Source organism: Homo sapiens, chromosome 18, assembly GCF_000001405.40.
Source record: "Homo sapiens chromosome 18, GRCh38.p14 Primary Assembly".
In the NCBI taxonomy this organism is placed as follows: Eukaryota; Metazoa; Chordata; class Mammalia; order Primates; family Hominidae; genus Homo; species Homo sapiens.
The window spans coordinates 8099270-8114692 of NC_000018.10; the positions used below are offsets into that span (position 1 = coordinate 8099270).

Consider the following 15423-nt stretch of genomic DNA (forward strand, 5'->3'; position numbering starts at 1 on the left):
CCCAGAGAGCTCAGCCCTAGATTCATTCACTGCACTGGCTGGTGACCGCTTGTCCTGGCCACCTACTAGCTCCTTCAGGGCCAGGCCTGTCCTCTGATTTTACTTCTGTATTTCCAATCCTGGTTCTATGCCAGACACAGGCTTCCATGAGTATTTGTTTATTTGTTTTGTTTTTATTATTTGTTTCTCATTTTTTTAAACTGTAGAAGAATTTTTACTGAGGCAAAAACTATGACTGGGTTTGCATATTAGATCAACCACTGGGGCCGGGACATTGGGGAAGTAAACAGGCCAATGTGTCTTCCGGATGGAAAATTAACAGATTACCGTGGATGGATGCATCAAAACTGTCTTTTGCCAAACACAAAGATTTTGAATGGAGCAGGCTGTGCTCAGGGGTTCCACCTCCCAGTTCCCACCAAATGACTGAAGTTTCATTTGGTAGTATAAGTGACATCTAATCTCTCTGATGTAAACAATTCATACAAGTTAATAGTTTAGAAAGGTAGTATCACAAATTAAGAGAACACGTGGCACAGACACAAGAAGACTTGGGTTTGAATCTCGGCTGGGACATTTACTAATTGTGTGACCTGAAGTCACCCTGTGTGTGAGGCTCTTCTTGCATTGCTATAAAGATACCCGAGACTCGGTAATTTATAAAGAAAAGAGGTTTAATTGGCTCAGCATTCTGCAGGCTTTACAGGAAGCATGGTGTTGGCATCTGCTTGGCTGCTGGGGAGGCCTCAGAAGCCTCCAATATTCCACTTAAGACCATGGCGGAAGACAAAGAGGAAGAAGGCATGTCACATGGTGAAAGCAGGAGCAAGGCAGAGAGTGAGGAGGGAGATGCCACACACTTGTGTGTGTGTGTGTGTGTATGTGTGGAAACGGAGTCTTACTCTGTCACCCAGGCTGGAGGGCAGTGGCGTGATCTCGGCTCACTGCAACCTCTGCCTCCCCGGTTCAAGCAGTTCTTCTTCTGCCTCAGCCTCCTGAGTATCTGGGATTATAGGCGCCTACCACCATGCCTGGCTAATTTTGTATTTTTAGTAGAGACGGGGTTTTGCTATGTTGGCCAAGCTGGTTGTGAACTCCTGACCTCAAGTGATCTACCCACCTTGGCGTCCCAAAGTGCTGAGATTACAGGTGTGAGCCGCCACTCCCAGCCAGATGCCACACGTTTTTAAGAGACCAAATCTCGTGCAAACTCAGAGTGAGATATCACTTATCCCCAAGGAGATGGCCCAAGCCACTCATGAAGGATCTGCTCCCATGACCAAACATCTCTCACCTGGCCCCACCTCCAGTTCCCAATTGGGAATTACATTCAGTATGAGATTTGGGCAGGGACAAATATCCAAACTATGGCACCCTGTAAATTCTCTAAGTCTGTTCCTTCATTTGTAAAATTCGCATCAAGTATACTACTTGCCTGTCTCACAGCCTGGTCAGAAGGATTATGATCAGTGAAAATTATTTGCAAACCGAATTGCTCAAAGAGAATAAAGCTATGATATCATGATTTGCTTAAAAAATGTTGACTAGATTGCTATTCAGTCTTTATGCCCATTATACTCCGCTTTTAGTAATACACTTAAAATTTCCTATCATTACTGCCTTTTATCTTCTATGCTGATATTCTGTGGTTATCACCTATATAGGAACTATGTTTTAACAGTCACTGATATTTGACAATACTTCTATAGAAGTTGTAAGAAATATGTGTGTTTGGTATTAATATTGTGCATTCATTTGGTAAAATCATCAATGTTTTAGATCTCTTGTTCCATCAAAACATCCCAGCAATAAGAGAAGGCATTGTTGGTAGGACTGTTTATAGATAACAGCTCATTCCAGGGAGTAAAAGTGCAATGTTGTTAAGAAGCATAAAGAATGCAACCATAGCATGGAGCTTGATGCTTCTGGGTTTAAATTCTTATTTGCCAAGATTTATGTCCACCTCAAAGGTAATAATAATATCTACCTCAAAGGACAGCTGGGAGAATTAGTGACCTGTAAGCAAAGCAGTCAGGACAGCATCAAACACAGATGTTATCTGTTCAGTACAGGAAGCCTTTTCTTATTGTTGATTTCTATAGTGATAGAAACAACTTATAGATAACATGGTAGCCCCTTTTATTCTGCCTATGTCTTGGGAAATTTTCTGGGTCCTAGCATTGTATTCCTGAGCCTCAGTTATGTTCTTCTTAGCAGCTTGTGATAGATAAATAATAATTACAGCAATAGAAAATGAATAATCATGGTTACTTGGATTGAGGAGCTGTGATGTGCCAAGCCCATGCTTGGTCCCAAATGAAATAATTTATCATGATTCAGAGCAGGCTTCCTCGCTAGATGCCAGCATTTCCCCATTACAGTTGAAAGCACTGAGGTTCAGGGAGGTTAACAGACTTGTCTACTCTAACCCCAAAGCCATGAGCTTTCCGTGTAACACTTAATCTTGTGCTCAGAGCCACAGGGCACGTGAGCTGTCAGGACCTTGCCTCCTCCTGGGAGCTGTGCTCATTCTCTTGTCCCCCACTTTGCTTGATCAGAAGACATCTTTCCTCCTGACCCTTCAGAACCAAGATGGTTACACCTCCCTTTGCAGACGTGGACTATTCTGCAAATTAATATCCTTTATTTATTGTCTTTTCTAGTACAGGCATATCTTGGAGTTATTGCAGGCTCAGTTCCAGATCACTGCAATAAAGTGAATATCACAATAAAGCAAGTCACACACATTTTTTGTTTCCTAGTGCATAGAAAAGTTATGTTTATATTATACTGTAGTCTGTTAAGTGAGCAATAGCATTATGTCTTAAAAAATGTATCTACCTTAATTAAAAAATACATTATTGCTAAAAGTACTGATGATCATCTGAGCCTTCAATGAGGCATAATCTTTTTGCTAGTGGAGGGTCTTTCCTCAATATGGATGGTTGCTGACTAATCAGGGTGGTAGTTTCTGAAGGTTTGGGTGACTGTGGCAATTTCCTAAAATAAGACAATGAAATTTGCCACATCAGTTGACTTTGCTTTTCGCAAAAGATTTCTCTATAGCATGGGATGCTGTTGGATAGCATTTTACCCATAGTAGAACTTCTTTCAAAATTGGAGTCAATCCTCTCAAACCTTGTCAGTGCGTTATCAACTATGTTAATATAATATTCTAAATCATTTGTTGTCATTTCAACAGTGGTCACAGCATCTTCATCACAAGTAGATTTCATCTCAAGAAACCACTTTCTTTGCTTACCCATAGGAAGCAACTGCTCATCCGTTCAAGTGTGATCATGAGATTGCAGCAATTCAGTCATGTCCTCAGGCTCCACTTCTAATTCTAGTTGTTCTTTCCACCACATCTGAGGTGACTTCTTCCATTGAAGTGTTGAACCCCTCAAAGTCACCCTTGAGGTTTAGAAACAACTTCTTCCAAGCTCCTGTTAATATTAATACTTTCACTTCCTCCCATGAATCACAAATGTTCTTAATGGCATCTGGAATAGTGACCCCTTTCCATTGACTTTGACCAGACCCATTAGAGGAATAATTATATATGGCAGCTATAGCATCACAAAATCTATTCCGTGTATAATAAGACATGAAAGTTAAAATGACTCCTTGACCCATGGGCTGCAAAATGGATGTCATGTTAGAAGATATGAAAACAGCATTCATCCCATGTACGTCTCCATCAGAGCTCATGGGTGATCAAGTGCATTGTCAAATGAGCAGTAATATTTAGAAAGGAATCCTTTTTTTCTGAGAAGTAGGTCTCAACAGTGGGCTTAAAATATTCAGTAAACCATACTGTAAATAGATGTGGTATCATCCAGGCTTTGTTGTTCCATTTGTAGAGCACAGGCAGAGTAGGTTTAGCATGATTCTTAAGGGCCCTAGGATGGTAAATGAGCATTGGCTTTAACTTAAACTTGCTAGCAGCATGAGCCCGTAACACAAGAGTCAGCCTGTCCTTTGACACCAGACATTGACTTCTCCTCTTCAGCTATGAAAGTCCTAGATGGCATCTGCTTCCAATAGAAGGCCATTTCATCTACATTGAAAATCTGTGGTTTAGTGTTGTCACCCTCATCAATGACTTTAGCTAGATCTTCTGGATAATGTGCTACAGCTTCTACATCAGCACTTGCTGCTTCGCTTTGTACTTTTATGTTATGAAGATGGCTACTTTTCTTAAACCTCATGAACCAACCTCTGCTAGCTTCAGACTTTTCTTCTGCAGCTTCCTCACCTCCCTCAGCCTTCATAGAATTGAAGAAAGTTAGGGTCTTGCTCTGCACTAGGCTTGGTTTAAGGGAATATCATGGCTGGTTTGATCTTCTATCCAGACCACTCAAGTTAGTTTAATATTCTATCCAGACCACTAACACTTTCTCCATATCAGCAATAAAGCCGTTTCACTTTCCTATCATTCATGTGTTCACTGGAGTAGCACTTTTAATTTCCTTCAATAACTTTTCCTTTGCATTTACAACTTGGCTGTTTGGTATAAGAGGCCTAGCTTTCGAACTGTCTTGGCTTTTGACATGCCTTCCTCACTGTGCTTAATAATTTCCGGCTTTTAATTTAAGGTGAGAGGCTTGCAACTCTTCCTTTCACTTGAATACTTAAAGGCCATTGTATGGTTATCATTTGTTCTAATTTCAATATTGTGTGTCTTAGGGAGTAGGGAGGCCCAGTGCCAGGGAGAGAGATGGCTGTCTTATATGGACACAGTTCATAGCACCCCAAAACAATTACAAGAGTAACATCAAAGATCACTCATCACAGATCACCATAACGGTTGTAATAATAATGAAAAAGTTTGAAATGTTGCAGGAATTACCAAAATGGCACAGAGACATGAAGTAAGTGCATGCTGTAAGATAAATGGCACTGACAGACTTGCTGAAGGGAGGGTTGCCACAAACCTTCAATTTGTAAAACTTTAGTTCAGTATCTGTGAAGCCCAATAATGTGAAGTGCCTTATTAAGCTGGGTACGCCTTTATTAAGAAAATACGTTACACCTTTGTTTCTATATTATGATCATTGGAATCTCTGGGGTTTATCCCTACTGCTTGCTTAATTCTTAAATGCAATACTTTTGTATTCTTCATTATTTCCTTGTTATTATTTTTAAGCTGAAACATTTTGGGGTTTTGTTTGTTCGTTTTGTTATGTTTTAGTGGGGGAATCTTGCTCCATTGTCCAGGCTGGAGTGCAGTAGCATGATCATAGCTCACTGCAGCCTCAAATTCCTTGGCTCAAGCGATCCTCCCACCTCAGTCTCCTGAGTAGCTGGGACTTAGAGGTGGTGTGCCACCACACGCAGCTGATTTTTTTTTATTTTCTATAGAGCAGGGTCTCACTATCTTGCACAAGTTGGTCTCAAACTCCTGGGCCCAAGCAGTCCTCCCACCTTGGCTTCCCAAAGTGCTAGAACTACAGGCATGAGGTACCACACCCAGCCCTTGTTAATTGTTTAGCCATATAATTTTGAGAACTTGAAGAACTTAAACGAAATTGTTTTAGAATATTGGATTATTTTAATCAAATTAATCAGTGTTTTTCTGCTGGTATGTATGTTCTTTTTCCTTTCACCATTTTTATTAGTCTCCAAAGAATCAATAAATTAAGGATCAGTGCTTTTGAGGTACTTATAAGTGGCTTTTTAATTGTTCCCTTTTTATTTATTGGAGAAATGCAGACTGCAGGAGCATCTTAAACCTTCAGGGCTAAATGCACTTTTGTCACAGTTTTCAAACCTTTTGAAAAGGCTCTATCTGTGGCTAAAATTGTTTAGGGAAAGCAACTGACTTCTAATAATTTTCCTTTATTCATTGAGGTACACATAGGATCAAAATGTCATTGAGTGGTAAAACTTCAGCCTGCTTTTTATAGAATTTGTTTTTATTATTACTTACTGTTGCTGAATCGCTACAGTGAGTGTTAGCAAAAGGTGCCAGATCCCTTACTATCACCACCACCACTACCCCCACCCCACCTGCTTTTAAGTGAGTTTTATTGTATTAAAAAATAATACTCTGGATTCCTTTACTGCCAGAAAACAAAGATCATTTTTATTAATGTTGCTTCTAGGATGACAATGTCAGTCATCTCTTTGAAAATTCATTTTGGAAACTAAGTTTGTTCTTTAAGAACCTTTGAAAAGAAGCTTTAAAAATGGCAGAGGAAGATAATAATAATAGAGTAGATGTATTTGAGCTTTTATACAATGAAACTTAATTTAACTTTCCCTCAAACTCCATTTCAGACTTGCTTTTGTGCATGAAAATATGCTGCCTAGCCTTCCCTCCCCTACTTTTCACATTTTCTTTTCTTCAAAGTAATCTCTTCTGAAGGATTCTCTGCATGGGATCAGACCTCCATTCTCATTCCCAGGCCCCCAGTGCTGAGGGCGGCAAGCCCAGGGCGCCTGTGGGAGGGTGTACAGGGAGGCTGCTATAGACAGGGAAGGTCAGGAATGGCTCTCAGAGCCAAATTCCACTGCCAGTCACCCCCCAGAAAAACCAACAAAATACTTACGTAATATTTTGATATAACTTTAAGGATTAAAATGGATATCCAGTGAAGTACTGAAAACAAAAAATTATGGCCTTTGTAGCCTAAGGAGTGATTATAGACTCGACAGAGAGTAGTTCCAAGTTTGCCTGACAGTGATTTGGAAAGAGAGAGGAGAACAAAGACGAAGACCATGCATGCCTTCAAGCTTCTTTCCCGGCCCACCCTCAGGTACCTCCTTCTTCATCCTTACCTCAGGCCTTGTGGGCGCCTAGAGGAGTCAAGACTAGGAAGCCTGGTTTTCATGCTCTGCAGGACAGGAATTGAATGAGGAAGACCCTGCCATTCTTGTGTAGCTCTTGGGGCCACTCTGGGGACTCCTGGGGGCATACCTGCTGGGACCTGGGCAGTATGTGAGGTAGGACCCAGCTCATTGTCTTCCATCTTCTGTGCTGATGAAGGGTACTCACAAGCAATTGGAGTGAATGGAGACTGTATTGGGATCTGTTAATAAACATGTTGGCTTTTTTTTTTGTTGCTGTTGTGTTATCTTTAATTCAGGGAGAATGTTGGTGACTGTAGCATTGCAGGAGCAGTTTTAGGGTGAGAACATTTGGGCACTTGGTTCAGGTCAGATGCCCTCAATGTAGTAGATGCTAGAAGAGATTTTAACGTAGAGATTGACACATCCCTGGGTCCTGTTACTTTGTCCTTTGTACAAACCCTTATCAGATCCTTGGCATGGTAGTTCTTCATTGGTGTGATGTATTTCTGACACTCTTAGCCTGTGCTTTTCAAGGACGGGGCAGTCTGTGCCTAATTCCTCTTTTTATTCTTCCCCTGTGCCTGGAACAAGGCCTGATACGTGGTGAATATTGTGGAAAGAAAGGATGGAGGAAACATGAATGAAATAATTTTCTTCTCATTTGCTGATGTCACAACTTGCCTGATCTTGTGCTGAGAGTCATAAAATATTAGCGCCTGAAGGGCTTTAGTGGTCAGTTGGTGATTCAGGAGCAAAGCAGGAGCCAGTCACCTGTGGACGGTGATTCCCAAGTCAATGCTCTCTCATCAGCACCCCCTTGGGCACAGCTGCCTTTCTCTGATAGTTGCATTTGTATTCCAGCCCATCTGGCCCAAAGCACTGGAACTTTTCGGGACTGAAAGATTTTGAATTGGATAAAATACAAACTATAAAATATCATTCAGACAAACATACAGGAACAAAGCTATTTGGTGTGGCTTTGATAGTATTCTCTTTCTATTTTTATTCAAATCATTAGGACTATTTAAGAGAACATACTTTTCATAATAGTAACTAATTTTGGATTATACTTTCATAATCATGTGTTTATGAAATTGAGATGATTAAATTGTGTTAAATTTATATGAAATAGGAAATGCAAAGGAAATTGTCTTCACTTGTTAAAAGCAGGAGACATCACCCTTAAAGATGTTCCATCTAGGACTAATTTACTCGAAATGTGGTGCCTGTTGTGAAGATTAATGATAGGTGGCCTTTTACAGAGCTTCTCAGCCTGAGCCTAATGTTCTAGTTGTTCTTTTTATTATCCCAAACCTCCATAACTAAAGAATTTTTTTCACCCTGCCCTTTGTTCATAATATGGGATGGTAATTGAGTTCATATTTCTCACCCAACCTTTCATCTGTAATTAATATTTTATTATATCAGATTTTATCACTAACTAGCAGAGCAGCAGGGTATTGAACCGAGTATGGGAGCATGTGCACAGACACACACCCACAGAGCAATAGTAACTTACTGATGCCAGGCAAGCTCCTTGTTATGAGTTACGGCTGAGAGAACATAAAAAATGCTTGTGGTGCCCCACAAATATTCCACAGCAATTTCTGGCCAGTCTTGTCTATATCAGAGCAGGACAAAGAGAAATTAAAGTTGCTAATATAGAATATTCAGCCCCACAGGTCTATTTATCCTGTGTGATGTGTTACCCATTGCCAATTGTCTGTATAAAACTAATTACCATTTATCATTGATAATTTAATCAACAGGTGTGTGTCCAGTCAGTTACTCTCAGTGTTACCTGAAGGACTCTAAGGAATCTGAGCAGTAATAACAAACACTGAATTCTGATTTTTTTCCAGTAATTGTAATTTGGTGACATATTTTTTAAAACTGAGTTTAGTTTTATCAGGTTGTTTAGAGTATTAGGGTGTCATTTCAGTAAATGCTGACAGATTTAGGAAAAGACAATGTCAGAGCAAAGAACAAGAGGTAAATAAATTCAGTGTGGCTGCATGGCATTAACCCTTAGTTACACATTTATTTTTCATGCTTTGCATGTAATTAATATTTTCATTTTCTTTCATCTCCCCCCATATTAATCTTCAGGAAGCTATCAATACTAATATCTATTCTTTTTATACATATATAATGGATGGTTTTTACCAAAAATTACAAATCAAGCCAAAAGTCACTACTAGATATGATAAAATGAACAATATTCTAAGTCCCTGAAATGATCAGAAGTGCCTGTTTTAGAGGATTAGCAAAAACAACAATGAAAGCGTTACAACTTTTCTCCTTCTCTGTTCTCTTCCTTACCTCCCTACCTTCTATTATCCAATTGGTAACCCTCTGATATCTTATGGTGAAAAGAAATACGATAAATGGATAACAAAAATGGATTTACAACTCATCTTGAAATGAATTAGGACAAAACATTTTAAGTTAATTTCACATATGTATGAGGCTTCCTCTCCAGGAACTCGAAAGTTAGGAAAAAACTAAAAACATTTTATCACATTTGAACTTTCAAGTCTAAAAAAGTAGATGAAAGATGTTCAGATGTTCTTTTCTAGATTATACTTCATGTGCTATTCCATATAAATGCAGATTTTTCATTCTCCTTGTAAAGGCCTTAGAATTTTGTTGTAGAAATGCCTAGCATAAATTAAACTTTAAATTAAATTTCCTTCCATAGGAAAGTTCTGATATAATGATGTCACAGTGTTGGCAGATTCATCCTCACTGTGGATTGTGCTTTTAATATCGCACATGCAGTAGGAAGATTTGATGTTACTTTAAATTCCAGAATAATGGTAGGACAGGGCTAGGGTGGTGCAACTTTAATAAACAAAGGCAGCATGGGCAACTCATTAAAAGGATAATAGAATTTAAATTCAGCTCACTAAGCTAGAAATTTCTGATCAGTTTTCTATTCTCAGAAATTTGCTTTTTAAAACTCTTTCTAGAAACACCATTCCAACAGTGAGATTTTCAAAGCTAGTTTTGAGATTATGATTGTGGATGGAAAAATTTTATGAAACTCATTAGTGAAGTGATGTTACTTGTACAGATGAAAAACACATCAGCTATAAAGTTCTGTCAAGGTACTATTGACCTAGGTGCTAATAATGTGTTAATTTCCATCAGGGAAACAGCAAATTATGGCAATTGGGCAGCAGATAGGATTTAGCTATTTTTCATTAGCACTTGGGCTTTGATAAAGGGGACTAGAAAAGAGCTGCTTGACCTTTCAGTGCTTAAATTATTAAAGAGCAAATAGATTTGAGGTCTGGATGCTTGAAAATCTAATTTGTCTTGTGGAGCAAGGATGAAAAGACATTTTGGGTTTGAAATTGCTCCAGTCAACTTAGTTCTTTCTTTAATATATCTGAAGATGAGTGGATAGTAGCCATTTAAAAAGCAGTATGTCTGGAGTAGAGTGTATAATAGAACCCATGCCAACTGGCTAACATGGAGGCCTGTCCAATGATTGTTTAATTCTTAAATTTTCACCTAATCCTCATTAAACTACTGCTTGAAACAAATGATTTTTTTCATGTTTGCTTAGATGATATTTATATTACAAAACAAAATTTTGTATCATTAGAGAATGTCAAACATTGTGTTGTTTAAGGCAAACTAGAGCAGTGCCTGACACCTATTAGGCACTCAAAAAAATTTGTTGAAATAATAAATCAGTGTACACACTCACCCATCACACCTACGAGCCAGGTTAGGAGAGAGGAATGGGAAGTGAGAGATGGAGGTGTGGGGGGCACATAGAGACACAGCGTTTGATTCCCTTAGGTTCATTATTTAATTGTGGGTTATCCAGGATAAACTAAAACATAACTAGCATCCTCTTACCATAAAACCTTTTCCTTGGTCATTGCTTTCTCTTTGGCTCTTGAGTATTTGGGTAATGAATACAAAATAAACTTCACATTAAATTTTAATAAGGCAAAGCATCGTTGTGACTATCGGTGTGCTTCCTCCCTCCTGGTACATAGAATGTGTAATATACCCCCAAACCAAATAGAAGCAACTTCAGGATTATAGCATGCTTTCAGAAATATGTACTTCACAGCCGAAGTGTCACGAGACACAACAGTGACTAAACCTTTGCCCTTCTTCTTCAGAAGCTTGTAGGACTTTTGAAAATAGTGATAAAAGGACACAAAATGACTATGTGCTCACAGAAAACATGTTTTTGTGCATTTGGAGCAGAGCAAGAGAACATGAAAATGAGGGAACAGACTATAAGCCCTTGAGAGAGACTCATTGAGGGTCTGTGTTTTAGGACACAGGGCATCTGAGAGTGACCTAGAGTTCATTGCCTTGAGGAGAACTACATTTAAGTGGCAAACTTGAGTCCAGGCCAGGGTGAAGGAAAAGAGGCAAAGATGTTTGCAGTAGGAGAATCTAGGATCTTGGGACATGGAAAGTCTAGGAGCAGCTGTGCTGCTTTTTTGTCTAGCTGGGTTGTAACAGGAGGGAGCTCCTTGCAGGTTGAGAGAGGTGGGAAGATCACAGTGCTCCGAGGACACCAGCCCGGTGCTAAAGTCACTGTGGAGCCCAGGAGAACGTCCTCCCTGAAAGTAATTAATGATTCAGATATAGAATTGAGGAATGATTCTGTACATACCTTGATTCCTCATTCCAGTGAATGATTCCTCAATCATTCATTGAGGAATGATTCAGATACAGAAGGAATTGAGGTCAAAGCCAACATTATCGTCTATAACTCCCTTGATGTGATAAGTGTGAATCTTTACAATACTCAAAAGAAGTTGACTGTGGAAAGTCAGTGGAGACTAGCTTATGTGTTGGTTGTGTCTACAGGAGCAAGTGAAAATTCCCTTCAGGCCAGATGGTTTCCATCAGTGCCTTCACTGGACCTGTGAATGAGGAATGCCAGCACAGCCTGGTCTGATGATTAGGAGAACTGGCTCTGCTGTCAGACCACCTCTGCCACTTCTGTAGAATACCCTGGTAGAATGGCACTTCACCTCTACACCTCAGTTTTCACATTAGGAAAATGGGAAAGATAAACTCTGTGTGTGTTGGGCACCTGGCCTAGCACTTCCAGTATGGAATATCTGCAACATTTTTTTCTTCACACATATCCTTATTTTCCTGCTTTGTCTAGTATATGGATTTCCCAGAAGTTGTTTTTAAGTTGAAGTTTTGAAAATCATGTCATACAGGAAATGAACTGGAAAAACGATTTGAAGGAAGTGATGTTAAAAATTATTATATTGGCCAGGCGCAGTGGCTCATGCCTGTAATCCCAGAACTTTGGGAGGCCGAGGCGGGCGGATCACGATGTCAGGAGATTGAGATCCTGGCTAACACGGTGAAACCCCGTCTCTACTAAAAATACAAAAACAAAATTAGCCGGGTGTGGTGGCGGGCGCCTGTAGTTCCAGCTACTTGGGAGGCTGGGGTGGGAGAATGGCGTGAACCCAGGAGGCAGAGCTTGCAGTGAGCCAAGATCGTGCCACTGCACTCCAGCCTGGGTGACAGAGGGAGACTCCATCTCAAAAAAAAAAATTATTTTATTAAATGGAGAATCACTTTGCAAAGAAAATAATTATTCTTACGGTTTCTCTATTTTGTGAGATCAGTCCTTGTAAGTTGAATAAAAATTCTAGATATATGAACTCCATGTTAGAGATTCACTTAATTCTCTCATTTCGTAGGAGAAAAATAAAACTCAAATAAATTAATTGAAATGCATTTAAAACCCAAGCTTTTAGCAGAATTAGAATTAGAGCTCAGACCAGTGCATTGTCTTTACCCCTCCAAAAGCGATTTCAAGAGAATGGTCACGCTTCCTTAGGCCTGTTTGTTTTTAATGGTATTCCAGGTGAGACTTCTTTCACCGCTGTCAACTGTGGCTGTGCTACAGAACAGGTAGTATTTAGTCTTCCACTTTGACCTTGACCCTTTACCTTTACTACTGTATGAATGATCCACTAATGTGGAGCATTTTACGTGACTCAATCCGATAGAAAGTATCTGCTGTTTAGGAAATAAGAGTTGTACTCCTTTTTTTAAGTTTACATCACTGGTAATATTCACTTTATCATTGCCTTATAAACCTGCTGGTTACCTGTCTACAGAGAAATCAGTCTGATATTCTAAAACAATTGATTTTTATTTAGACAGAATTACCAACGAAATGGCAGCACACATTTTGTTTCTGTAATAGAAGGTGCTAAGTGGTTGTGCCCACAGAGATAGGTGGTTCTATGAGTGCAGATTCAGAGGTCACATAGACGAGAGTGTAGAGACAAACCTTTCTAGGCATTCCCCCCATGGGTGGGGATAGCAGGCAGCCCTCTTCTGTGCTTTTTCCTTGGCATTAATGGGTTCTTGTACTGGGCAGCTCTTGGTTCCTGGGAATTCTGGTGCCTTTCTGATACTGTAAGAAAAAGATCCCTCTTCCTGCCAGAGGACTTAAAATCTAATCTGGACTCAGTTCAGGGAAGCTGTTGTCAGGCTTTAGTTTTTCTCAGCATGAGAAAGGTTTTTTTCCAACAAAACTGCAAACAACATTCATCACTCTGGCAAATGTATTAAATAAATACCTTAATTTTCTAAAAATCTATCAGTTCAAGGTTTCTGCCATTCTCCTGAGGTTACTTCAGAATTCAAAGACATTGGAAGAGGATGAGCGGGTACCAGAGACCTACTCCTTAGTGGGGCTGTCATCCTTGCAGGCGTCTTCAGAGATACCCAGCCCATTCTTATATGAGATTCGAGGGGCCTTGTTCATTAGTTAGTCTTACTAATCACTTGGAACTCCAAGGCTTTGGCTTTTGAAACTATAATCCCTTATCTCTGCTTTTCTTATGCATTTCTTTCCACTGACTGAATACGGTGAGTGCAAAGGAACATAAGAAAACATAGGAAGATAAACCTTAGTTAACATGAATCACTACACATTGTGTTTTGTGATTTGTTAAAACTTTACTTGTGTTGTCATTAAAGAAAATAATGCATTGCTTTTTAAAATAAACTTACAGTTGGTATAATTTAATTGTATTTATCAGGTAAACTGAGTTAATTATCTGTAAAATCATCGTCAGTTACATGTGAGAAAAACATTACTTCTGCTCACATAAACAGTAGAGATTATCATATTAAAAATTTAAAATGATGGTGAATTTTGTTTCTCTCACTAAATAGTGTTGTTTTGGGTGAGAGAGTTCTGAAGAAGAACTGAAGAACCCTCCCTGTCTTTCACTGAGCAAGTGCTGCATGAGAGTCTGTTATATATCAAGCACTTAGTATGGACTGCGTCCAGTGTGTTCTTTATTTTGCGTGTCCTGTGGGTCCATGCAGTTGAAGGCAGAGTGGATCAGTTCAGTTATCATAAAATATCATTGATGGTACTCTTGTTTTTCTAGTGTCTATCAAATAGTTGTTGAGGAAGAACGTCCTCGAAGAACTAAAAAGACGACAGAAATCTTAAAGTGCTACCCAGTGCCAATTCACTTCCAGAATGCTTCTCTGCTGAACTCACAGTACTACTTTGCTGCAGAATTTCCTGCAGACAGCCTCCAAGCTGCGCAGCCTTTTACAATTGGTGATAATAAGACATATAATGGATACTGGAACACTCCCCTTCTCCCCTATAAAAGCTACAGAATTTATTTCCAAGCTGCTAGTAGAGCCAATGGGGTAAGTTGTACAGATAACTGTTTACTTAGGCTATTTGGGGTTGTTAATGTGAACATAGATTAAGTAAAATAGTAGTAAAATGGAAGTCATGCTTTTCTGCATTTCTACTTGTAAACAAATGTGATTTTCTTCTCTTAAAATTATTTTTGTCTAGAGAAATTTATGGAAAGAAACAAATATACTCATCTTTTTTTTTTTTGATTGGGGGAGTTTATCATCAACATGATAGGTTTTATTTTCAGTTTTCCTGTTACCAAAAGTTGGCTGGCAATTCTGCTTAGCTTACTATTTTACAGGAAGACAGTATAGCTCCAACACATACATTCAGCTCATTTAAAATTTTGTGAGATTCACAGCATCTGTCTTTTCAGCATAGTCTGTCCCATTAAAGAAATGGGAACTGAAGAAGTTCCACAAGAGTTTCTACTTCCTATACTTTGACTAAATTTGGTATCTTTTTTTTTTCCTAAGAGAAAATAGAAAAATGAGACGGAAACAAAATAAAAAGTGTCATTTCTGAATTTGCTTCCCCTTCCTGCTCAGACCAACCCAGAACTCTGATAAGATTGTAAACTCTCCTTAGACAGAAGGAAATGTTTCGCAGATACCACAGTGGGTCCCTCCTTCGCAGCATAGGTCTAGGTATCGTGGTCAACTTGACTTTTGCCGGTGTAAAGGGGGGAAATCTGAGATGCATCATGCTTCTCCAATACTGTTTGCTCAGGGGCAAAGTACAGATCTGGTCCTTTACTTTACCTCCTTACTAAAGGAGGTCCGGGGCCACCAGGCAGAGACATTTTATGTGTAGCTCCTTGCTCATCACCTGGTCTAGAAATGCCCAGCACTGCCTGCCACTGGAGCCAGAAAATGTATCTGAGTATGGTTCAAAGAATAATTGCTGTGTGATTAAAGACACGCTCAGAACAGTGAGAT

At 39.4% G+C, this 15423-nt stretch overlaps 1 protein-coding gene across 36 annotated transcripts in view; it reads left to right on the forward strand.

Annotated features, from left to right (window-relative positions):
• The window catches only part of PTPRM (protein tyrosine phosphatase receptor type M), an 839541-nt gene that overhangs the window by 531954 nt on the left and 292164 nt on the right, over positions 1 to 15423 (forward strand). For all 36 annotated transcript variants that reach the window (XM_011525708.3, XM_047437715.1, XM_011525712.3 and 33 more), the window contains one exon: positions 14217 to 14490. In XM_011525708.3, coding sequence (XP_011524010.1) covers positions 14217 to 14490 — 274 coding nt within the window. The remainder of the gene's footprint in view (positions 1 to 14216; positions 14491 to 15423) is intronic.